The sequence below is a fragment of the Homo sapiens genome, chromosome 21, assembly GCF_000001405.40.
Source record: "Homo sapiens chromosome 21, GRCh38.p14 Primary Assembly".
NCBI classification, from domain to species: domain Eukaryota; kingdom Metazoa; phylum Chordata; class Mammalia; order Primates; family Hominidae; genus Homo; species Homo sapiens.
In genome coordinates this window covers 33,503,451-33,527,800 of record NC_000021.9, presented here as the reverse complement: position 1 = coordinate 33,527,800, position 24,350 = coordinate 33,503,451, and the positions used below count along the sequence as shown (strand labels likewise).

The 24,350-nt window shown below is 41.6% G+C and overlaps 1 protein-coding gene and 1 pseudogene across 9 annotated transcripts in view; both read left to right on the top strand.

The window, feature by feature from the left end:
• GART (phosphoribosylglycinamide formyltransferase, phosphoribosylglycinamide synthetase, phosphoribosylaminoimidazole synthetase) overlaps positions 1-23,870 on the top strand; it is a 38,963-nt gene extending 15,093 nt beyond the window's left edge. For 7 of the 9 annotated variants that reach the window (XM_047440743.1, XM_006723990.3, NM_001136006.1 and 4 more), the window contains exons 11-22: positions 2,801-3,032; positions 5,519-5,613; positions 6,786-6,895; positions 7,239-7,437; positions 10,193-10,444; positions 10,660-10,812; positions 16,343-16,549; positions 17,881-18,018; positions 21,697-21,827; positions 22,099-22,240; positions 23,274-23,389; positions 23,486-23,870. In XM_047440743.1, coding sequence (XP_047296699.1) covers positions 2,801-3,032; positions 5,519-5,613; positions 6,786-6,895; positions 7,239-7,437; positions 10,193-10,444; positions 10,660-10,812; positions 16,343-16,549; positions 17,881-18,018; positions 21,697-21,827; positions 22,099-22,240; positions 23,274-23,389; positions 23,486-23,677 — 1,967 coding nt within the window. In that variant the 3' untranslated portion in view covers positions 23,678-23,870. Of the gene's footprint in view, positions 1-2,800; positions 3,793-5,518; positions 5,614-6,785; positions 6,896-7,238; positions 7,438-10,192; positions 10,445-10,659; positions 10,813-16,342; positions 16,550-17,880; positions 18,019-21,696; positions 21,828-22,098; positions 22,241-23,273; positions 23,390-23,485 lie in introns of those variants that run through there. The other 2 variants (NM_000819.5, NM_175085.3) reach the window with 2 other exon arrangements.
• Positions 8,693-9,191, top strand: BTF3P6 (basic transcription factor 3 pseudogene 6; annotated as a pseudogene).

Below are 24,350 nucleotides of genomic sequence, written 5' to 3'. Positions count from 1 at the left end.
ACTCTGAATTATCACAAATGCATACAGTTTTGTGTGGTTTGACCCCCAGTTTACAGTGCACCCCATAGTCACTTGGATGGCAAAATTCAAACAGTTTCAAAGTTTATCCTTCTCTTTTTTTTCTCTCTCTCTTTATATAAAGTAGGTGAAACATCTCGTTAAATGATGTTAAATCTAAGTTCCAGTGCCGTAAGTCCAAAGGCAGACCTCTGTGACCCCTAGCAGCCTATAGTTTGGCCACTCTCCGTGCTCCAGTAGTGTATTTGGGGGGTTTCCTTTTTTTTTCGAGATAGACTCTAGCTCTGTCACCCAGGCTGGATTGCAGTGGCACGATCTCGGCTCACTGTAACCTCCTCCTGGGTTCAAGCGATTCTTCTGACTCAGCCTCCCAAGTAACTGGATTACAGGTGTATGCTACCAGGCCCAGCTAATTTCTGTATTTTTAGTAGAGATGGGGTTTCACCATGTTGGCCCGGCTGGTCTCGAACTCCTGACCTCAAGTGATCCGCCTACCTCATCCTCCTCAAGTATTGGGATTACAGGTCTGAGCCACCATGCCCAGCCTCCAGTAGTGTATTTAATTCAACAACCCCATAAACTGTCTTGCCCAGACACCAAGTCCATTGCCTTATGAATCCCACGCATGGCAGCTAGGCAGGCAGTTAAGAATTGATTCCTTTTGAATATGGACAAAGAAAGAAATGGGCCAGAACCAAGATCCCTTGCATTGGTAAAATTTCCCTAAGATTGAAGTAACAAGTGTATAATAGTTCTGCCAGAGCAATATTGAGTTTTACCAGTACTGGCAGGCAGAGTAGCCATTCAGAATCACTAAATGGCTTTGTGTTGTAAAAACACTCAGGGAAGATGTATATTAACAAACTACCAAATAGGATGCTAACAAAAGAAATAGAGACGGAAAAAGAAGACCACCAGGAGATGAAAGAATGGTTTTCTAAAAATTAAGAAAAAGTGTTATCTTTACATAAACTGTCCCCTTTGGTCACTTTAGAATTTAGAATATATAGTCTAATAATGTTTTAACTATAAAGCTGTATCTGAGAGTTTAAAAATAATTCAAAATACAGTGAAGGGGCAGGAATTTGGGGCTGACCCCAAAACTTAATTTAAGCCAAGTTTGTCTTAAAATCATACAAGTGTTATAATAGTGAAAAGATTACTTATGTTTTGCATTGTACTGATCATATTGGTTATACTGAAAAGAAAGAAACTTAAGTCTCATGATCTGGTTAAAAAAAAAAAATCGAAAAAGAAAAAAAGAAGCAGCTTTAATTGAATAACTGTGATGAAAAGAAGTTCCTTTACAGGCCAGGCACGGTGGCTCACACCTGTAATCCTAACACTTGGGGAGGCCGAAGCGGGCAGATCACTTGAGGTCAGGAGTTCGAGACCAGCCTGGCCAACATGGTGAAACCCCGTCTCCACTAAAAATACAAAAACAATTAGCCAAATGTGGTGGTGCATGCCTATAATCCTAGCTACTCAGGAGGCTGAGGTGGCAGGATGGCTTGAACCCAGGAGGTAGAGGTTGCAGTGAGCCGAGGTCGCACAACTGCACACTCCAGCCTAGGTGACAGAGCAAGACTCTGTCCCAAAAAGAAAAGGAAGTTCCCGGCTGGGCGCAGTGGCTCATGACTAATCCCAGCACTTTGGGAGGCCCAGGCAGGCAGATCGCAAGGTCAGGAGATCGAGACCATCCTGGCTAACACGGTGAAACCCTGTCTCTACTAAAAATACAAAAAATTAGCCGGGCATGGTGGTGGGCACCTGTAGTCCCAGCTACTCAGGAGGCTGAGGCAGGAGAATGGCGTGAACCTGGGAGGAGGAGCTTGCAGTGAGCCAAGATTGCACCACTGCACACCAGCCTGGGCGACAGAGCGAGACTCTGTCTCAAAAAAAAAAAAAAAAAAGGAAGTTCCCTTACTCTTAAGGAAAAGATTAATGTGATCAGATGCAGGATTTTTGTTTCTTTCCTCATTAAACAATTGCTTTTATAATGAGATTTACGATAACACAAGAATTTAGGTTGTCATCCTAAAATAGCAGACAGTTCTTAGGAGAAAGGTCTAATTACTATTACATTGCATTAAAACCTATCTGGGAGGCCAAGGCGGGCAGATCAGGAGGTCAAGACCATCCTGGCCAACATTTTCAAACCCCGTCTCTACTAAAAATACAAAAATTAGCTGGGTGTGGTGGCACATTCCTGTAGTCCCAGCTACTCCTGAGGTTGAGGCAAGAGAATTGCTTGAACCCAGGAGGCAGAGGTTGCAGTGAGCGGAGATCACACCACTACTAGCTTGGCAACAGAGTGAGACTCCGTCTCAAAAAATAAAAGAAGACCTGTCTGATAGGGAAGGTTCTTTTAAGTGAGAGAAAGATCTTTAATTTTTATGTATTTATTTATTTGGAGACAGGGTCTCTGTTGCTGGGTTTGGAGCAGTGGTGCGATCACACCTCACTGCAGCCTCAAACTCCCAAATTCAAGTGATCCTCCCACCTCAGCTGGTGTGTGCCGCCACACTTGGCTATTATTATTTATTTATTTATTTATTTATGTAGAGGCGAGGTCTTGCTCTGTTGCCCAGGCTGGTCTCGAACTCATGGACTCAAGCAGTCCTTGCCTCAGCCTCCCAAAGTGCTGGAATTATAAGCATGAGCCACCGCACCTAGCCAAGTTAAAAAAAAAAAAAAAGAAACTTGTGGAAATCGTAAATCACTTCACGGTGTGAAATACTGTTGCTATTTGAAATCATATGTCAAATATGCTCTCTTCTAGGGTTTCCTGAGGCTCAAGCTCTAGGACTGGAGGTGTTCCATGCAGGCACTGCCCTCAAAAATGGCAAAGTAGTAACTCATGGGGGTAGAGTTCTTGCAGTCACAGCCATCCGGGAAAATCTCATATCAGCCCTTGAGGAAGCCAAGAAAGGACTAGCTGCTATAAAGTTTGAGGGAGCAATTTATAGGAAAGACGTCGGCTTTCGTGCCATAGCTTTCCTCCAGCAGCCCAGGTAAAACTCTAAGCAAGTTAGCTGTAGTGCCATTTCAGAAACTGGCCTAAATGGCTATGTAGAACATTTCATTAACCCTATAAGTCATTCAGTATTCTTTTCTCTCTGTGGGAGTGATACAGTCTTGGTTTGTATTTTGTTTGAATCAAAACTGGTTATAGCAATACTCAAATGGAAAAAACTTCATGATAGCGTAAGTTTGGAAAGTTTAGCAAAATCACAGTGGTACTGATTTTTATTTGTTTTCTATTTTTTTTATTTTATATTTTTAATTTTTTTAACAGGGTCTTCCTCTCTCGCCCAAGTTCTCATGCCTCAGCCTCCCAAATAGCTGGGACTACAGGCACAGGCCACCACACCTGGCTAATTTTTTTGTATTTTTTGTGGAGATGGGGTTTCACCATGTTGCCAAGGCCAGTCTGAAATCCTGGGCTCAAGTGATCCTCCTGCTTTGGCCTCCCAAAATGCTGGGATTATAGGCATGAGCCGCTGCACTTGGCCTGATACTGATTTTTATTCCTTGCGTTATCACATAGTGTTGTATTTGAAACATAGTTCATGGTTTTATCAAAGAACTGAAGATGAGAATACTGGTCATCTAACTTTGTAATTTGATTTGATTATACTGTAAAGTTTGACAGTCTCATTTTATCACTGCGTTTGTATCTATTACTAAAATGTATTTTTTGACCTCTTACTGATTCATTGTTGGTATGTACAAACTGTTGACTTGTAAAATCAATAAAGTCTTAGTTGGAAATGTGGGTGTTTTGATTTCTTTTTTTTTTTTTTTTTTTTTTTGAGACAGAATTTTGCTCTTGTCGCCCAGGCTGGAGTGCAGTGGCATGATCTCGCCTCACTGCAACCTCCACCTCCCGGGTTCAAGTGATTCCCCTTCCTCAGCCTCCTGAGTAGCTGGGATTACAGGTGCCTGCCACCGTGCCCAGCTAATTTTTGTGTTTTTGGTAGACATGGGGTTTCACCATGTTGGCCGGGCTGGTCTCGAACTCCTGACCTCAGGTGATCTGCCTGCCTCAGCCTCACCAAGTACTGGGATTACAGGCGTGAGCCACCGTGCCCGGCCTGATTTCTTAAAAATATATCACATTTGCTATTGTTCGTGAAGTTCATTTACGGATAATGAATAAATTTTAAGACAAAATTTTTTTACCAACGTAATTCAAGCTATACTGTTACCAAGAGGCAGGTTTTTTTAAAGTTTAAACACAGATTTTCCAAGAATCAAGAACATCAAAATACCAGGCTAAAAATTTATTTTTCATTTAAAAATGACTAGATTCCATTGAAATGACCTATTTCAAGGGACTGCAATCTCAATTCTAGTCTGAATTATTTAAGTTATAAAGATGAAAAAATGGAAATGCCACAGTGTTAGTTGCTACTGGAGAAAAGGTTTTTTAACATCAGTCTTTGTTTTCTATCTGAGAGTGACCCAGAGCTGCTGGCTTTATTTGAGTTAACTGCCAATGCACTCAACTGTATTCTGGCAGCTTTTTTGTTTTTTGTTTTTGTATGCTTTTTTTAAAGACACTTCTATAAAAACACATATTTCTTCATGTATCACTGCATCCCAGCAGGCCAGAGTTCTCATTTTTGCAAGTCAAGACTACAAAATCTGCAGTGTCATTCAAAAATTTGATCTCTAAATGTACTGCTCCGACTTGTGGGTCCTATACAGAAGGAAATGATGCACTGAGTATCTTTACCTGGTTTTGCTTTTGTCATAGTGTTTACTGTCCTCAGCTATTAGGAAACAGATACAGTTATATATTACTGAAATTAAGAACTCAGTTTAATTATTTAGGGATACTTGTGTACGGTTTTTACAAATCTAATTTTCACTTTTTTGACTTGATTAGGCATTCCTCTCTTGTTCATACCAAAATTGAACTGAGAAAAGTTGCAGCAAAATGTCAGTATATCTACTTTTAAACAGATGGTTGCCAGGGTCTGGGGTAGTGGGGAATGGGGAGTTATTTAACTGGGACAGACGTTCAGTTTTACAAGATAAAGGATTATGGAGATGGATGATGGTGCCGGGTGCACAGCATTATAATTGTATTCAATACTATTGAACTGTTCACTTAAAAATGGTTAAGATGCTGAATTTTATGTTGTGTATATTCTACCTTAATAAAAAATCATTTAAAAGAATCAGTATATTTAGCAGCCTGTGAGAAGTACTTGTAGAAGAAATAGGTGATTGAGTTAGAATAGCGGTTCTCAGGGATGATGTAATCAAGTCAACTGGGGAGATGGTTCAAACTCATTTCAATTCCCAGAGCCTGCCCTAGACCAGTTAAATCAGAATCTGTATAGATGTGGCCCAGGCACTGACTTTAAAAAAATTTAAGCACTTTAGGGTATGTGAAAATCACTTGGGATATCTTCTGCTTTAAATAATATTTTAAGATTAAAATAATTTTCCCTGACGTTTAGGTGATGACTTGTTTTTAATTCTTTAGGAGTTTGACTTACAAGGAATCTGGAGTAGATATCGCAGCTGGAAATATGCTGGTCAAGAAAATTCAGCCTTTAGCAAAAGCCACTTCCAGATCAGGTCAGTGATCCTATACTTTGCTAATTCATTAACTTTGATATACATTGTGAATGGATTTGGGTTTTATATTTAACAGGAATATTTTCCAAAGCAATGCTTGGTTACTGTAAGTTTTGCCCTGCTTAAGCCAAACCCAGTCTTCTGCTTTCTTTTCTTTAATATTAAAGTATTTCTCATCTGTCATGTTAAACTCAAAAGGATATGTATGCTCCTTTACTTTTTTTTTTTTTTTTTTTGAGACAAGAGTCTTGCCCAGGCTGGAGTGCAATGGCACCATCTCGGCTCACTGCAACCTCTGCATCCTGATTTCAAGCGATTCTCCTGCCTCAGTCTCCCAAGTAATTGGGATTATAGGCACCCACCATCATGCCTGGCTAATTTTTGTATTTTTGTAGAGACATGATTTCACCATGTTGGCCAAGCTGGTCTTGAACTCCTGACCTCAGGCAATCTGCCCACCTCAGCCTCCCAAAGTGCTGGGATTATAGGCATGAGCCACCATGTCTGGCTGGTCCTTTAGTATTTAATTACTTCCTTTTTTTTTTTTTTTTTTTTTGAGACAAAGTCTGGCTCTGTCGCCCAGGCTGGAGTGCAGTGGTGCCATTTCGGCTAGCTGCAAGCTCTGCCTCCTGCATTCACGCCATTCTCCTGCCTCAGCCTCCCGAGTAGCTGGGACTACAGGTGCCCGCCACCACGCCCAGCTAATTTTTTTGTATTTTTAGTAGAGACGGGGTTTCACTGTGTTAACCAGGATGGTCTCGATCTCCTGACCTTGTGATCCACCCGCCTCGGCCTCCCAAAGTGCTGGGATTACAGGGGTGAGCCACCACGCCCAGCCTTAATTACTTTCTTAATCAATTCTTTGAGCACATGGTGCAATCTCTCATACTCAGGAAGGGCATCTCTTGTTTCAGCCATTCTTATGAACAAGTGGTATGTATATACATGTTTAACCTATTAACATGTTACATGTTAATCTATTAAATGATTACATTCTCCCAGTTGATTTGATTATGTCATCTCTGAGAACAGCTGTTCCAATCATCTATTTCTTCCAGAAGTACATCTCACAGGCCGCTAAATATACTGGTTTTTTTAAACTAGTAGACATTTAAATAATTACATGTTTAATCTATTAAAATGTAGCAAGTAATTAATTTCCTCTCCAACAGGCTGTAAAGTTGATCTTGGAGGTTTTGCTGGTCTTTTTGATTTAAAAGCAGCTGGTTTCAAAGATCCCCTTCTGGCCTCTGGAACAGATGGCGTTGGAACTAAACTAAAGGTAATCAGACACCTTTGTGAATAAAGGCCTTTTAGGAAAGATGAGGAAATTTATATCAAATATGTATTTTTCTTCTCTTGACATATATGAGCTAAAAAGGACCATGCCAAATAACCATGTAAAATGGCTAAAATATCTGCACATTTCTAATAACAAATTATTATTTAGATTATATTTGGATGGAAGGGTACTTTAGAGGATAAAAGGGGATGCTTTTAGACCAAGTAGCTTGTCAGAATTTCGTGTTCTTTTGTTTTTAGGTGTTAAGAGCAGCTAATCAAATGGATAAGATACAATTTTGAACTTATTCCCTAATGTGGATGTTTATATTGTTCTTACATAGATTGCCCAGCTATGCAATAAACATGATACCATTGGTCAAGATTTGGTAGCAATGTGTGTTAATGATATTCTGGCACAAGGAGCAGAGCCCCTCTTCTTCCTTGATTACTTTTCCTGTGGAAAACTTGACCTCAGTGTAACTGAAGCTGTTGTTGCTGGAATTGCTAAAGCTTGTGGAAAAGCTGGATGTGCTCTCCTTGGTATGATCAGCCATTTTAATCAATAACATGTCATTCTTCTTTTTGTGTTTTAGCCCTATGTAAAAATGTGATCAGTGCCAATGTAGCTAGCAAGAGAGACTGTATATCACAAGATGCATATATGTGATATGCACAAATGAAATATAGGTAAAACTACCTGAATTAAATTTAGAGCCTGCTACCTTCAAAGCCCTCCTCAGGGGTTTGTCCTCTAGACCCGTACTCCCAAACTGTCAGGCAGGCCTTATCTTTCTTCCCAATTTTTGGCCACCTTTTAACATCCCCATCAGTCTCAGTAGCCTCCTCAACAAACAGGTCTAGGAGTTATTTCCTCCTTATTGACCCCACGGTACAGGCAGATGGGTTCCTGGCATTCCGGATCTTAACTAAAGCCAAATTTTCCCATAGAGTGACATAAATAATAATATACGCCCAAGTTTTATAGAAGTATCTTTATACATGAAATGTTTGAGCAAAATGAATCTGTAGGTTGATCAAGGAACAAAATAACCTCTTTTTTTAATTTAAAAAAAAAAAAAAGGGAATCTCTCTCTGTCACCCAGGTTGGAGTGCAGTGGTTCAATCACAGCTCACTGCAGCCTTGACCTCCTGGGTTCAAGGGATCCTCCTGCTTCAGCCTCCCAAGTAGTTGGGAACTACAGGCATGTGTCACCAACCCAGCTAATTTTTGTACTTTTTGTAGAGATAGGGTTTTGCCATGTTGCCCAGGCTGGTCTTGAATTGCTGGGCTCAAGCTATCTTCCCATCACAGCCTCCCAAAGACACTGCCTCTTTTTTTTTTTTTTTTTTTAAACAGAGTCTTGCTCTGTCACGCAGTCTGGAGTGCAGTGGCGCAATCTTGGCTCACTGCAAGCTCTGCCTCCTGGGTTCACACCATTCTCCTGCCTCAGCCTCCCGAGTAGCTGGGACTACAGGTGCCCGCCACCACACCCGGCTAATTTTTTCTATTTTTCAGTAGAGATGGGGTTTCACCGTGTTAGCCAGGATGGTCTCAATCTCCTGATCTCGTGATCTGCCTGCCTCGGCCTCCCAAAGTGCTGGGATTACAGGCATGAGCCACCGTGCCCGGCCAGAAACTGCCTCTTTTATATGACCATTTAAACCAGAAATTGTGCCATCTTGCATCTGCACATGTGTGCATCTAATCTCAGCTGGTCTACCCAGGACCCCTTGAGCACCAACCCTAGTCCTCCACATGACCCTTTTCCACGCTGACAAGATGAAAGAAACAACCAAATTGCAGGCACAATTGCGTAATGATGGAAAAGAAACAGAAAGAAGGTGGTTCAGCTACAGCAGATGATAAAAACTTCAGTTCTCCTTAAGAAGTTAAGGGTAAACAATATCTCTGGTATTGAAGGGGTGAGTATGTTTACAAATGAAGACCAGAGATCCACTTTAACAACCTAAAATGCTGGTAGCATTTCTCTGGGGCAGTGAACACTTTCACCATTACAGGCCATGCTGAGACAACGCAGCTGATAGAAATGCTACCAGCATCTTAAACCAGCTTGGTGCAGACAATCTGACTAGTTTAAGGAGACCGACTGAAGCTCTGCCCAAATAGTCTGTGGATGGAAAAGCACTGCTTGCTAATGGAGGGGATGGTGATGAAGTTCTAGATCTTGTAAGGAGTTTTGATGAGGCTATTAAGAATGAGGCAAACTGAATTGAGTCAACTTCTGAAGAAGAAAAAATATGAAGTAACTAGGAGCTGCTATTTTACATTATGACTGCTTTCTGAAATTGTTTATGGATCTGATAAAATTTAGATCTCTAATATTTTAAGCCCCATTCCTGTTGGACACTGCAGCTCTTTTCAGTTTTTGCTTATACACAATTTCTTCTTTTTTTTTTTTCTTTTTGAGATGGAGTCTTGCTCTGTGACCCAGGCTGGAGTGCAGTGGCACAATCTCGGCTCGCTGCAACCCCCACCTCCCAGGTTCAAGCAATTCTCCTGCCTCATCCTCCCAAGTAGCTGGGATTACAGGCATAAGCCACCACACCTGGTTAATTTTTGTGTTTTTAGTAGAGACAGAGTTTCGCCATGTTGGCCGGGATAGTCTCGAACTCCTGACCTGATCCACCTGCCTCGGCCTCCCAAAGTGCTGGGATTACAGGCGTGAGCCACGATGCCCAGCCCACAATTTATTCTTTGTAGCTAATTAAGCTAAAGAAGCCTGGGAATAAAGTTTGAAACAAACAAAAATTGCCTTTCAACCACCGTTTAGAACACAGTTTCTTATTTGGAGTCTGCCTATACCTTATATCTTGACATGATATAATTGTAAGTAAAATGCTATACTTTTTAAGCTAGGGTATTTGGAATTGGGCAGTCCCAGTTAAGTCACTTCTTTAAGGCTGTATCATCACCTGAAAAATGGACTGATTATAAAGATCAAATACATATGAAAGCAGTTTTGAAACTAAACAGCTATAGAAATGATGTTATATTCAACTGAGCATTCATTCTGTGCAAGCAGTGGTGTTTGGCGGCTGCATATATACTTGTAGAGGTGCTACCTAATCTCACCCTTTGTGGAAACAAGTGCTATTTCTCCTGAAATCATGCTTGGTGGAAAGTTCTGTTAGACAGCTGGTAGAGTACATTTTCTTAAATATTTGCAGGACATAGCCATGTGTTAGTTGTTCATGTTAAGAGTAGCCTGTGCCACTGTTTCCTAGACAGATTTATAAATACTCTGATTTCTTTGTTCTTGTCTTATCCCACCAGGAGGTGAAACAGCAGAAATGCCTGACATGTATCCCCCTGGAGAGTATGACCTAGCTGGGTTTGCCGTTGGTGCCATGGAGCGAGATCAGAAACTCCCTCACCTGGAAAGAATCACTGAGGGTGATGTTGTTGTTGGAATAGCTTCATCTGGTCTTCATAGCAATGGATTTAGCCTTGTGAGGAAAATCGTGGCAAAATCTTCCCTCCAGTACTCCTCTCCAGCACCTGATGGTTGTGGTGACCAGACTTTAGGTAAACTCCCTCATGTTTAAACTGTCCTGCTTGGAAATGCCTGAGCAAGCATTTAGTGGTTTTAGTCTCTGATTACTTAGAGCTAAAAGGGAATGAATTACCTTGGTTTGCTACTTGGTCATTATTGTAGAGCTGGTGTCATTCTCCAGGTTGATTTTTATGTTTTGGTTTTCTATTCATAGGCTAAGTTTTTGTCTTCTCTCTTCAACATGCAGGGGACTTACTTCTCACGCCTACCAGAATCTACAGCCATTCACTGTTACCTGTCCTACGTTCAGGACATGTCAAAGCCTTTGCCCATATTACTGGTGGAGGATTACTAGAGAACATCCCCAGAGTCCTCCCTGAGAAACTTGGGGTAGATTTAGGTAAGATCACTAAAACGAACTTCTGTTCAGAAAATTGCTGAGGAAAAAAATGCATTGTGCGAGAAAACTATGGGTAGTTAATGTACACATGATTACACATGGAAAATTCTTAATCATTGGGGGTTTTGGGAGGGAAAAACTCGACCCTTTTCTATCTCTTTTTGCTTCATTATCTGTATTTATAAGACATAAAATATTGTCATGTAATTGGCTTACATAAAGTTGAAGTACTCGATAAGTAGGTCCTCCAAGGGGATTGGTAACTTCAAGCTCTATTAAGATGGAGCCCTACACACCAGGAAAGGAAATGTTAGCTATTAAGTAATCCATATTCGAGATAAAAGGACCTAAACCAAGGCATAGAGAAGGGAGGCACATTGGAGAATCATTTTATGCTTAGAAGTAAAAAGAAGTCTCAGGTTTCTAGTTAAGCAGGTGAGTAGGCGGTAACATCATTAACATAGGAAGAAGAGTAAGTTTGGAATAGAAGGTTTTTAAATCTTCAGTGTGTTTATTCCAAGGTGACTGTGAGCAGAAGTTGAAGTCATGCTGAAGATAAATTGGGTGATTATTTGCACGTAGTAATAGTTATAGCCAAGAGAATGAGGGAGACCAAAAGGTTGTTTCTCAAAGTAGAGTGACTGAAAAGAACAGTCCAAAGTAGTGGGTAAACCATGTAAAAGTATTATCATCAAACCAACATGGGATTTTTTTCTTTTCTTTTTTTTTTTTTTTTTTTTTTAGACAGAGTCTCACTCTGTAGCCCAGGCTGGAGTATAGTGGCGCAATCTCAGCTCACTGCAAACTCTGCCTCCTGGGTTCAAGCGATTATCCTGCCTCAGCCTCCCAAGTAGCTAGGATTACAGGCACCCGCCACCATGCCCGGCTAATTTTTGTATTTTTAGTAGAGACAGGGTTTCACCTTGTTGGCCAGGCTGGTTTCGAATTCCTGACCTCAAGTGATCCGCCCGCCTCAGCCTCCCAAAGTACTGGGATTACAGGCATGAGCCACCGCGCCCGGCCCCAAGGTAGGATTTTAACGTGACACTGGTCCGCAGTGTCAGGTACAGCACAAAGATCTAGAATAAGCACTAGAAAAAGACCAGTGTATTTTAGAGTTAGGTCAAAAGTCAGTTTGCTGGACATAGATACCACCCACTAGATTGTTGTGGCAGAGTTGTGGAGACAGTGGGTAGAGATTTCTGTTTGAAGAAACATACTGGTAAAAGGGAAGTGGAATAATTTTATGCATGCAGCAAAAGTGAGGGACAGAGTCCTCCCTCCCTGTGTTCTTTTTTGTTTTTTGTTTTTCGTTTTTTTTTTTTTTTTTTTTTTTGAGTTGGAGTCTTGCTCTGTCGCCAGGCTGGAGTCGCCAGACTGGAGTGCAGTGGCGCAATCGCAGCTCACTGCAACCTCCGCCTCCTGGATTCAACTGATTCTCCTGCCTCAGCCTCCCAAGTAGCTGGGACTACAGGTGCCCGCCACCATGCCCGGCTAATTTTTGTATTTTTAGTAGACACGGGGTTTCACCGTGTTGGCCAGGATGGTCTCAATCTCTTGACCTCATGATCCACCCGCCTTGGCCTCCCAAAGTGCTGGGATTACAGGCATGAGCCACTGTGCCCAGCCCCTCCCTTCCTTGTTTTTGTAAAATAAAGTCAGAGAAACTTTTCCAGCTATAGTCAACTAATACACATTGATTTGAAGGAGTAGAAACTGAGGGAGTTTACATAAAATAACTTCTCTGTGAAGTATTAGTGAGATGATCAGGCCTGGGGTGGGAGCTTGAAGAGAGGAGTGGATAAAGCAGTCAAGGTCAAACAGGAGTGAGACAGTGAGCAGGACTGAAGGCACAGGTGAAGGTGAAGCTGCTCATGTAGTTTTTCTCCCAGAGCAAAAGCATGTATATAGCTTTGAAGCAAGAACAGAAAAAAAATAGATTAGTTAGGTTGATCCAGCTGAACTAAGCAGGTATTGGGGTCATTCATTGGGGAGAAGCAGTCAGAGTGATAGAGGTGAGTAGATATGGTGAGCTAACCCAAGAGTCAGAGCGTATGTGAAGCTCGGAGAGAACTGAAGAGTCAGAGGTAGGTTGTGTGGAAGTGAGGAAATCGGCAAGGGAAGCTGGGAGAGTGGTCAGATGGGATTTCAGCCTAGTCAGGGAAGCAAAACAGACAGGCCAGGCTAGGCTGAGTGGGAGTCTCTTCCAGGTCCATGGACTGAGCATATTAAGGAGTTGAAGGATTCATAGGAGGGTGAAACTAGTGGTTCAAGACATTCCTTGGGTAGAAATGCTTTCTGGTGAGCATATATAAGAACCTTAATAAGTAGTTCATTCATCATCCTTTTCAAATAGTTAAAAAACAGTGGCCTGCTGATGAATGGGGAAAGGAGGCAGGACTGATTTGTGCATTTGCCAGTTTTTGTGGTATAAATACTCCCATCATAGCTGCTTTAAAAATGGCTGTTTAACAGTCTCTACAAGCTGGCTCTAGCACACCACTAGTTAAAAACAACATAGTAGTCACCTCATTAAGAAACTGAAAGTGATATAGCCATATTCCTGAAAGCAGTTATAGTTTGAGTTACACAAATGTCTGTATTCCAATAAAAGCCATTGCACAATTCCTTGCATCAGCCTCTAAAGTTTCTTCCAGGAATCATACTTTGACAACAGATTTAAGTAAGGACTTCTGGGGGTTTTTTTGTTTGTTTTTTATTGAGACAGAGTATCACTCTGTCGCCCCAACTGGAGTTCCGTGGTGCGATCACAGCTCACTATTGCCCCAACGTCCTGGGTTCAAGTGATTCTCCGACCTCAGCCTCCTAAGTAGCTGGGACCACAGGTAACACGCCACCACACTTAGCTATTTTTTGTATTTTTAGTAGAGACGGGGTTTCACCACATTGCCCAGGCTGATCTTAAACTCCTTGGCTCAGAGCAATCTGCCCATCTCAGCCTCCCAAAGCGCTGGGATTACTGGCATGAGCTACCACACCTGGCCAGGACTTTTCAACATTAAAATTACAACTTACATTATTCATGAAGTACTTGTTCATTTATAGAAGCTAGACTCTTAGTCTGCCAGTGTTTTTTCCTATAAATATTTTGTAAAACTTCACTAAAACAAGATCATAATTTGGTAATCTGCTACTTGCCCTGCCATTAAATATGTCATCACTATCTCCTTGTCTTAGTAGCATCATTTTTGATAACAAGTATTCCATTTTACAGATGTACCACTATTTAGTTTTAAGTTGCTATTTACTTTTAACTATTGAGAGCATAGTGAACAATGTAGTTACTAAATCTGAGGTCAACTATTAAGAATGGACATTTCCCAGCTACTATAAATGGAATTGAATCTAAGAGTCATAGACATGTGATTCATTTTTATTTTTATTTATTTTTATTTTTTTAGACAGAGTCTCACCCTGTCGCCCAGGCTGGAGTACAGTAGTGCGATCTCAGCTCACTGCAACCTCCACCTCCCGGGTTCAAGTGATTCTCCTGCCTCAGCCTCCCGAGTAGCTGGGATTACAGATGTGCGTCTCCACGCCCAGCTAATTTTTGTATTTTCAGTAGAGATGGGGTTTCATCATGTTGGCCAGGCTGGTGTCGAACTCCTGACTTCGTGATCTGCGGGCCTCGGCCTCCTAAAGTGCTGAGATTACAGGCCTGAGCCACTGCACCCGCCTCATTTTTAAAATTGTATCAACTTCAGGCTGGGCATGGTGGCTCACCCCTGTAATTCCAGCACTTCGGGAGGCTGAGGTGGATGGATCCCCTGAGGTCAGGAGTTCAAGACCAGCCTGGCCAGCATGATGAAACCCTGTCTCTACTAAAAATACACACACACACACACACACACACACACACACAGAGACACACACACACACACACAAATAACCAAGTGTGGTAGCACATGCCTATAATCCCAGCTACTCGGGAGGCTGAGGCATGAGAATAGCTTGAACCCAGGAGGCGGAGGTTGCAGTGAGTCGAGATCACGCCATTGCACTCCAGCCTAAACGACAGAGAGATACTCTGTCTCAAAAAAAAAAAAATTGTATCAACTCCAAAGTATTAAAAAACTGATTATCAGCTGAGCATGATGGCTCATGCCTATAATCCCAGCGCTTTGGGAGGCTGAGGCAGAAGAAGCCCAGGAGGTCAAAACTAGACTGGGCAACATGGTAAGACCCTGTCTCTCCAAAAAAAAAATTTTTTAAATAGCCAGGCATGGTGTCGCATGCCTGTAGTCCCAGCTACTCAGGAGGATGAAGTGAGAAGATCACTTGAGCCTGGGACATCAAGGCTACAGTGAGCCGTGTTCATGCCACTGCACTCCAGCCTGGGCAACAGAGCCAGATCCTGTCTCAAAGAAAAAAAAAATTATCCAATAAATAAATCAAATAAATAGGCAGAACTGATAGTAAACCTTATTATTTAATAAAAAGCTGAGTTCACATTGGCTTCCCTTTCTTAAGAGCATCATAAATAATTTAATTCAGTATAGTTTTTTTAAAAAATCAGATCCCATAATCGTAGATTCCAAAGAACTATCCAGATTCTTTTTAAATTCAGAAATGTTGTGTGTGTGTATATAGACCTTTACCTAAAAATTTTTATTAGAGATTTTTGTTGTATTATTTGTGATAAGAGAGAATGTATTCTTTTTTTTTTTTTTTTTTTTTTCAATTTGAGTCGGAGTCTCACTCTGTCCACCAGGCTAGAGTGCAGTGGTACCATCTCGGCCCACTGCAACCTCCACCTCCCAGGTTTAAGTGATTCTCCTGCCTCAGCCTCCCGAGTAGCTGGGACTACAGGTGTGCGCCACCACGCCCAGCTAATTATTGTATTTTTAGTAGAGAATGGGTTTCACCATCTTGGCCAGGGTGGTCTCGATCTCCTGACCTCGTGATCCGCCCACCTCAGCCTCTCAAAGTGTTGGGATTACAGGCATGTAATCCAAAGTGTTGGGATTCTCACGCCCGGCCGAGAGAATGTATTCTTATAGCAGACCTAGGAAGTCTAAATTTTAAAAAGAATGAGAGGGAGAGGGTGTTGATCCGCCTTCCATTAACATAACTTTTCTTGAGGAGTGTATGCATTTTCTCTAAATATGTAGATAAGCCATCTAGTTTTGCATTGTACTTTGGGTGCATTTTGGTCATCACAAAGACTCAGCCAAACATTCACAAAAGGATGGTATACTGGCCTTTGCTGGAATTCAGCTACTAGCTCATCTGATCCATTAGGGAATGTCTAAGGGTCTAGTTAGTTAATGTAGCACAAAACCTCACTCATTTGTGAGTACTGGCCAAGTGTGTCAACAAAAAAATGTTCTTAATGTCTAAGGTACAAATGGATCCCCAAATAAAAAGTTCTCAGAGGCCAATTTATAGTTTTACCCTACATAAAATAGCAGAGCCTGATTATAATTTCCACATCTTTGAATATGTGCATACTTTTGTACTTTGTGTGAGAAGGTAGGAAAATCAAACAATTCGTGTCTATTTTTTTCAGATGCCCAGACCTGGAGGATCCCCAGGGTCTTCTCATGGTTGCAGCAGGAAGGACACCTCTCTGAGGAAGAGATGGCCAGAACATTTAACTGTGGGGTTGGCGCTGTCCTTGTGGTATCAAAGGAGCAGACAGAGCAGATTCTGAGGGATATCCAGCAGCACAAGGAAGAAGCCTGGGTGATTGGCAGTGTGGTTGCACGAGCTGAAGGTACTTGCTCCTTACTCATTTTTAGATATATAATTTTAGCTGTATAATTTTAGCTATACCTCAGCCTTGCCTCACAAGCTTTCTGCCCACCTTTTAGTGCAGCCATCGCTATGGCAACTATCTTTACACAGATGTAACATGACAGCACCCACCCCAGCGATACCACGTATCTCTTCATTTCTGCCTCAGAACTAAGCATTCATGCATGCACAGCCACACCCCACAGGATCGCTTCCCAAAGTAATCTCCCTACACACAAGACCTCATGGCTCTGCTGTCACTCAGCTCGATTCAAGGAATAGCGAGCAAGCACCCTGACAAGTACTGTATCAGTCAGGACTCTGCGAGAAGTGCTAGAACTTGGCAGAGGGGCAGAAAATCCACTCAGATTCACTAACAAAGACGTCACATGCTTGCTTTGGCAGGACACATACTAAAATTGGAACGATACAGAGAAGATTCACAAAAATAAAAAATAGAAAAAAAAAATGTCAGACCTTGTTGACTTTACCTGTATCTGCCTTTCTTTCCTCTATTGTGTAGGATTCATTTTCAAGCGGGTTCTCCAAATGCCGGAAAGATAACATCCTTCAGCTCACATTACAATAAGAAAGAGAGACCCAGCCGGGCGTGGTGGCTCACGCCTGTAATCCCAGCACTTTGGGAGGCCGAAGCGGGTGGATCACGAGGTCAGGAGATCAAGACCATCCTGGCTAACTCAGTGAAACCCCGTCTCTACTAATAAATACAAAACATTAGCCGGGCGTGGTGGCGGGCGCCTGTAGTCCCAGCTACTCGGGAGGCTGAGGCAGGAGAATGGCGTGAACCTAGGAGGCGGAACTTGCAGTGAGCCGAGATCGCGCCACTGCACTCCAGCCTGGGCAACAGAGCGAGACTCCATCTCAAAAAGAAAAAAAAGAGAGACCCTCTTTTTCTTAACATCGCATATCAAGCCTTTAAATGGCTTTGCTAGGTCACATGCTTATCCCCGAGACCAGGAGATCATGGCACTACTGTGGGTGGTCTCGCTAGGAAGATTTGGGGAGTAGGGGCAGAATACTGGCAGGCAGTCATATATATCCACCGTGCACTTCAAGATAGTGATGTGATCTGCAGCTTTTAGTTGAAGTAATTACATATGTTCACCTTTTGGAAGTTTTTATGAAAGAGTAGTGTTAAGTGATACAAATGTGTTGTTCATTTTAGTCCTTGCATTATCTTATTTTCAGGATAAAACATACCCTAAAGTTTTCATAAAATATTTTTCTTTCCATTATTCTTGTTAATTCACAATTGTTCTTTACTTATTTATGGATATGTTTGAAATGAAGGTTCCCCACGTGTGAAAGTCAAGAATCTGATTGAAAGCATGCAAATAAATGGGTCAGTGTTGAAGAATGGCTCCCTGACAAATCATTTCTCTTTTGAAAAAAAAAAGGCCAGAGTGGCTGTCTTAATATCTGGAACAGGTGAGATGTGGCTTCCCCTTCACTGTAGAGCTGTTGACTGCCCTTCCTTTCCTCCCCGCACTCTTGTGAGATTGTAAGGTTACTCTCGGCAGAGTCTAGGGACTGGGGGGAATCATGAGGGTTGTCTTTGTCTTTTCAGCATTCTTAGTCTTTCCACTTTTCTTAGGAATTTGAGACAGCTCCCAAAGAAAAAAGTAAAGGATGTCAGAAAGCTGGTTAAAGAGAAACCAGAAAAGATAGAAGCTACAGCTCATTTTGTATCATAGCTTTGTTGTTGAAAAGTCTGAAAACAGTTGAGGAATTTTTATTGTTATCTTATTAATTAGAAGAAGTTTATGTTTAACCTTTATGGATAGAGGGGTAAAGTAATAAGAGTATTGTATTCTCTCAGATGGATGTAGCCTGATTTTTTTCCCTCTATTGTAAGTAACACTGCTATGAACATTCTTGCAAATATTCAGTATGTTCTTAAATGCATATGTGATTTTTTTTTATTTGATGGCCAAGATCATAGTGATTCTTTTTGAGACAGTCTTGCTATGTTGCCCAGGCTAGAGTACAGTAGCTATTCACAGATGCAGTCATAGTACACTGCAGCTTCCAGCTCTGGCCTCAAGCAATCCTTCCGCCTTATTAGCCCCCCGAGTAGCTGGGACTGCAGGCATGCAGCACCACAACCAGCTCTGATACTTCTTCAGGATTCATTCCCAGAAGTTTAATTGCTTTACAGGTCGATCTTAAGGTTTTAATGTACTTTAGGCCCAAGTTGATAATAAAGCAAAGAAGCTATTGTAAGATGCAGCCATAAAAAAGAATAAAACCACATCATTTGCAGCAATATGGATGGAACTGGAGGCCATTATCCTGAGTGAACTGCCTCAGAAACAGAAAACCAGATATTGCATGTTCTCACTTATGAGTGGGAGCTAAACAGTGGGTACATGTGGACATAAAGATGGAAACAATAGGGCCGGGTGCTGTGGCTCACGCCTGTAATCCTAGCACTTTGGGAGGCTGAGGCGGGCGGATCACAAGGTCAAGAGATCGAGACCATCCTGGCCAACATGGTGAAACCCTGTCTCCACTAAAAATACAAAAATTAGCTGGGCATGGTGGCACACGTCTGTAGTCCAGCTACTCTGGAGGCTGAGACAGGAGAATTGCTTGAACCCTGGAGACAGAGGTTGCAATGAGCTGAGATTGCACCACTGTACTCCAGCCTGGAGACAGAGCAAGACTCCATCTCAAAAAAAAAAAAAAAAAAAAAGATGGAAACAATAGATACAAAACAGGGAAGTGTGGGAGAAGAGGTGAGGGTTGAAAATTTTTCTATCAGGTATAATGTTCACTATGTAGGTAATAGGTACACTAGAAGCCCAGTCCCCACCATTATACAACATTCCCATGTAATAAACAAGCGTGTGTACCCCCGAATCTAAAATTTTTTTTTTTTAAAGAAACTATTGTAAGAGTCATAGCATAGTGGTTTGTTCTTGAGAGGGTCAGTTTTTCTTGCTTAATTAAGCAGCTTATTTCTCATCAGTCAGTTTTAACATAATGTTATACTGTTTCTACTACAATGCTAGATCACAAGATACAGAATTTGTGGGAGCAATTACATATCCTAGGAGCAATTACATATCCTAAACCACGTCGTTTGCAGCAATATGGATGGAACTGGAGGCTATCCAGGAATATCTGTGCTTTTCACAATCTATTAATCCATTATCCCAAGAGGAAGGGAGTTTTTTTAATTTTTAATTTGTATGGGTACATGGTAGGTATATATATTTATAGGGTACATGAGATCTTTTGATACAGCCATACAACCTGTAATAATCACATCCCTGTAAATGGGGTATTCATCACCTCAAGCATTTATTCTTTGTGTTACAAACAATCCAGTTATTTTATTTCAGTTTTTTTTTGTTTTGTTTTTGTTTTTGTTTTTGAGATAGAGTCTCACTCTGTCGCCCAGGCTGGAGTGCAGTGGCGCAGACTCGGCTCACTGCAAACTCCGCCTCCCAGTTTCAAGTGATTCTTCTGTCTCAGCCTCCTGAGTAGCTGGGATTACAGGCACCTGCCACTATGCCTGGCTAATTTTTTGTATTTTTAGTAGAGATGGGGTTTCATCATGTTGGCCAGGCTGGTCAGGCTGGTCTTGAACTCTTGACCTCAGTATGATCCGCCTGCCTTGGCCTCCCAAAGTGCTGGGATTATAGGTGTGAGCCACCACATCCAGCCTCTTCCAGTTATTTTAAAATGTGTAATAAATTATTGTTGACTATAGTCACCCTGTTATGCTATCAAACACTAGATTTTGTTCATTCTAACTATATTTTTGTACCCATTAGCATCCCCTCTCCCCGTCTCTCCCACTACCCTTCCTAGCCTCTGGTAACCATCATTGCACTATCATCATGAGTTCAACTGTTTTAATTTTTAGCTCCCACAAATAAGTGAGAACATGTGAGGTTTGTCTTTCTGTGCCTGACTTATTTCACTTAACTTAATGACCTCCCGTTCCATCCATGTTGTTGCAAATGACAGGATCTCATCTTTTTTATGGCTGAATAGTACTCCATTGTGTGATGTACCACATTTTCTTTATCCATTTGTCTGCTGATAAACATTTAGGTTGCTTCCAAATCTTGGCTAGGGAGAATAAACATGAAACTGCAGGTATCTCTTTGATACACTGATTTTCTTTCTTTTGGGTATATACCTAGCAATGGGATTGCTGGATGATATGGTAGCTCTTTTTTTTAATTTTTGAGGACCCTTCAAACTGTTCTCCATAATAATTGTACTAATTTACCTTCCCAATAGTGTGTGACGGTTCCCTTTTCTCCACATCTTCGCCAGCGTGTTATTGCCTGTGTTTTGGATAAAAGCCATTTTAACCGGGGCGAGACAATATGTCATAGTTTTGATTTGCATTTCTCTGATGATAATGATGTTGAGCACCTTTTTATATACCTGTTTGCAATTTGTGTGTTTTCTTTTAAGAAATGTCTATTCAGATCTTTTGCCCATTTTTAATCAGAGTATTAGATTTTTCCCTAATGAATTGTTTAAGCTCCTTATATATTCTGGTTATTAATCCCTTGTCAGATGGGTAGTTTGCACATATTTTCTACCATTCTGTGGGTTGTCTCCTTACTTTGTTGATTGTTTCCATTGCTATACAGAAGCTTTTTCCATATTTACTTTAGTTGCCTGTGCCAAGAGAAAGGGAATTTAGAAGCCTCACATATCACCAGTCTTTTCCAAGACATTTATTCAGAAAATTTGACTGTCCCCTATTCAAAATGGCACATCTCTTTTTTTAAAAAGTGTGAGGTTGGGCGCGGTGGCTCATGCCTGTAATCCCAAATTTGGGAGGCCGAGGTGGGCGGATCACCTGATGTCAGGAGTTCCAGACGAGCCTGGCCAACGTGGTGAAACCCCATCTCTACTAAAAATACAAAAATTAGCCAGGTGTGGTGGTGGGCTCCTGTAATCCCAGCTACTCAGGAGGCTGAGGCAGGATAATTGCTTGAACCCGGGAGGTGGAGGTTGCAGTGAACCCAGATCGTGGCACTGCACTCCTAGCCTGGGCGACAGAGTGAGACTCCCTCTCAAAAAAAAAAAAAGAAGTAGTAGTATGAGCTCACTGCTGTTTTTCTCCCTTCTCAGGATCGAACCTGCAAGCACTTATAGACAGTACTCGGGAACCAAATAGCTCTGCACAAATTGATATTGTTATCTCCAACAAAGCCGCAGTAGCTGGGTTAGATAAAGCGGAAAGAGCTGGTATTCCCACTAGAGTAAGTTACTTGGGAAAATATCTTTGCTGTGGGCCATATTTAAGCTCGTAATCTGCCCTCACAGGACCCTGGTCTATGGGCACTTGTTCTTGGGACTTCGCCATTTTGGGTGGGTGCTGGGCTTGCCTTCTTCATCCTGTCCCTTTCTTAATAATCTCTCTATCAGGTATATCTTTACAAGGAAGTGAAGTATGGTCTGTGTAAAGGTTGAGTTTTTAATTATTTTTGGTAATTCATTGAAAAGGGTTGTGCTTATCTTTTTCTATTACAGGTAATTAATCATAAACTGTATAAAAATCGTGTAGAATTTGACAGTGCAATTGACCTAGTCCTTGAAGAGTTCTCCATAGACATAGTCTGTCTTGCAGGATTCATGAGAATTCTTTCTGGCCCCTTTGTCCAAAAGTGGAATGGTAAGCAAAAATTATTTGACATCACATTGGGAAATCAATTGAAAATGGTCTCCAGAACAGATAACTTGCCAAACAATCCCAGTAGTGAACACCCATCCCAGAAATCCAACTCCTGTTTGACTGTGATATTTTATTAATACTTTAACACAGGTCACAGTTTAATTTCCTTTGTTTTACACTAAAGAATGACCCAATGATGATTTATTAACCTGCTCTCTATCCATTTACTTTGGCTTGCTGTAATTAATCACTTTTTCTAATGTAGCTTAGTTTTGTTTCACATTACTGCAAAGATAATATTTCATCTTTTGAATAAATATTCAGAAGACCTTCCTTTATTTGTTTGGAAGCAAAAGAGAGTGATTCCGTATATCCCAAAATGAAGAGTCCATCCTCTCTTAGGAAGCATAGACCATTGCCAGGAGTTGGCAAGGAGGAGGTTATTGCCAGAAAACACATACTATCTATGTTACTGCCTTCTTCCCAAAAGCCTTGACTGCATCCTGTTTGTGTATGTGTGCACACAGTTGGTCAATAAATGCATTTTCCCTCCAAAGAGTTTATGTATTCTTAGGTGAATGTAGTTAGAGCACTTGTGGTGTGATATAAAATAGACAATGCCTTTGGTGACATGAGCCACACAGAACTAATCTAGCATCTGTCTGGTGGACAGGTCACTTTGTGGTTAGAAGTCAAGCACATAGATGCTATGTAAGAACCTCTTGCTTATTTTTAATAGTACGTGCCAGCAACAAGCTGGTATTCAGCTTGAACTCCCCACCTTCCTGTCACCATGAATGTCTGTTCAGAGCACCCCAGCATGCCTTTAACTGTGCAAGGCGGGTACTTGCTGCTTCCAGGGCCTTCTTGGATGAGAACTTACTTTTACCTCATTTCTGTGTTTGGCAAAGAAAACATCCATCCCAGAAATCCAACTCCTGTTTGACTTCGGATCTAGATAGGAAAACGTATTCCTTTAACAGAATACCCAGGATTTTTAAATTCTGACCACTATGCTTTTTTTAATTTTTAGGAAAAATGCTCAATATCCACCCATCCTTGCTCCCTTCTTTTAAGGGTTCAAATGCCCATGAGCAAGCCCTGGAAACCGGAGTCACAGTTACTGGGTGCACTGTACACTTTGTAGCTGTGAGTATGTCTTTTTCTACCAACATAATATTAGTAGTCAGATGTAAATGACACTGGCTAGAAGGTAATGTTCAAAACTTTTGCTTACTTTTCCAGGAAGATGTGGATGCTGGACAGATTATTTTGCAAGAAGCTGTTCCCGTGAAGAGGGGTGATACTGTCGCAACTCTTTCTGAAAGAGTAAAATTAGCAGAACATAAAATATTTCCTGCAGCCCTTCAGCTGGTGGCCAGTGGAACTGTACAGCTTGGAGAAAATGGCAAGATCTGTTGGGTTAAAGAGGAATGAAGCCTTTTAATTCAGAAATGGGGCCAGTTTAGAAAGAATTATTTGCTGTTTGCATGGTGGTTTTTTATCATGGACTTGGCCCAAAAGAAAAACTGCTAAAAGACAAAAAAGACCTCACCCTTACTTCATCTATTTTTTTAATAAATAGAGACTCACTAAAAACAAGACTAGTTAGTGCAGCATATCTGAGACATACAGTTTTCTTGGTCTTTTTTATGCTCTTTTTCTAACCGTCACCCCCTCTTTTTTTTTTTGGTATTGCCTGACAACATGATGAATCACCTCCATGTTTATAAGTTTTATGTTTTCAGCTGGGCACAGTGGCTCACGCCTGTAATCCCAGCACTTTGGGAGGCCGAGGCAGGCGGATCATGAGGTCAGGAGATCGAGACTATCCTGGCTAACACAGTGAAATCCCATCTCTACTAAAAATACAAAAAATAGTTAGCTGGGTGTGGTGGTACGCACCTGTAATCCCAGCTACTCGGGTGGCTGAGGCAGGAGAATCGCTTGAACCCAGGAAGTGGAGGTTGCAGTGAGCCAAGATCATGCCACTGCACTCCAGCCTGGGCAACAGAGCGAGACTTGTCTCAAAAAATAATAATGGGCTGGGTGCGGTGGCTCACACCTGTAATCCCAGTACTTTGGGAGGCTGAGGCGGGCAGATCACGAG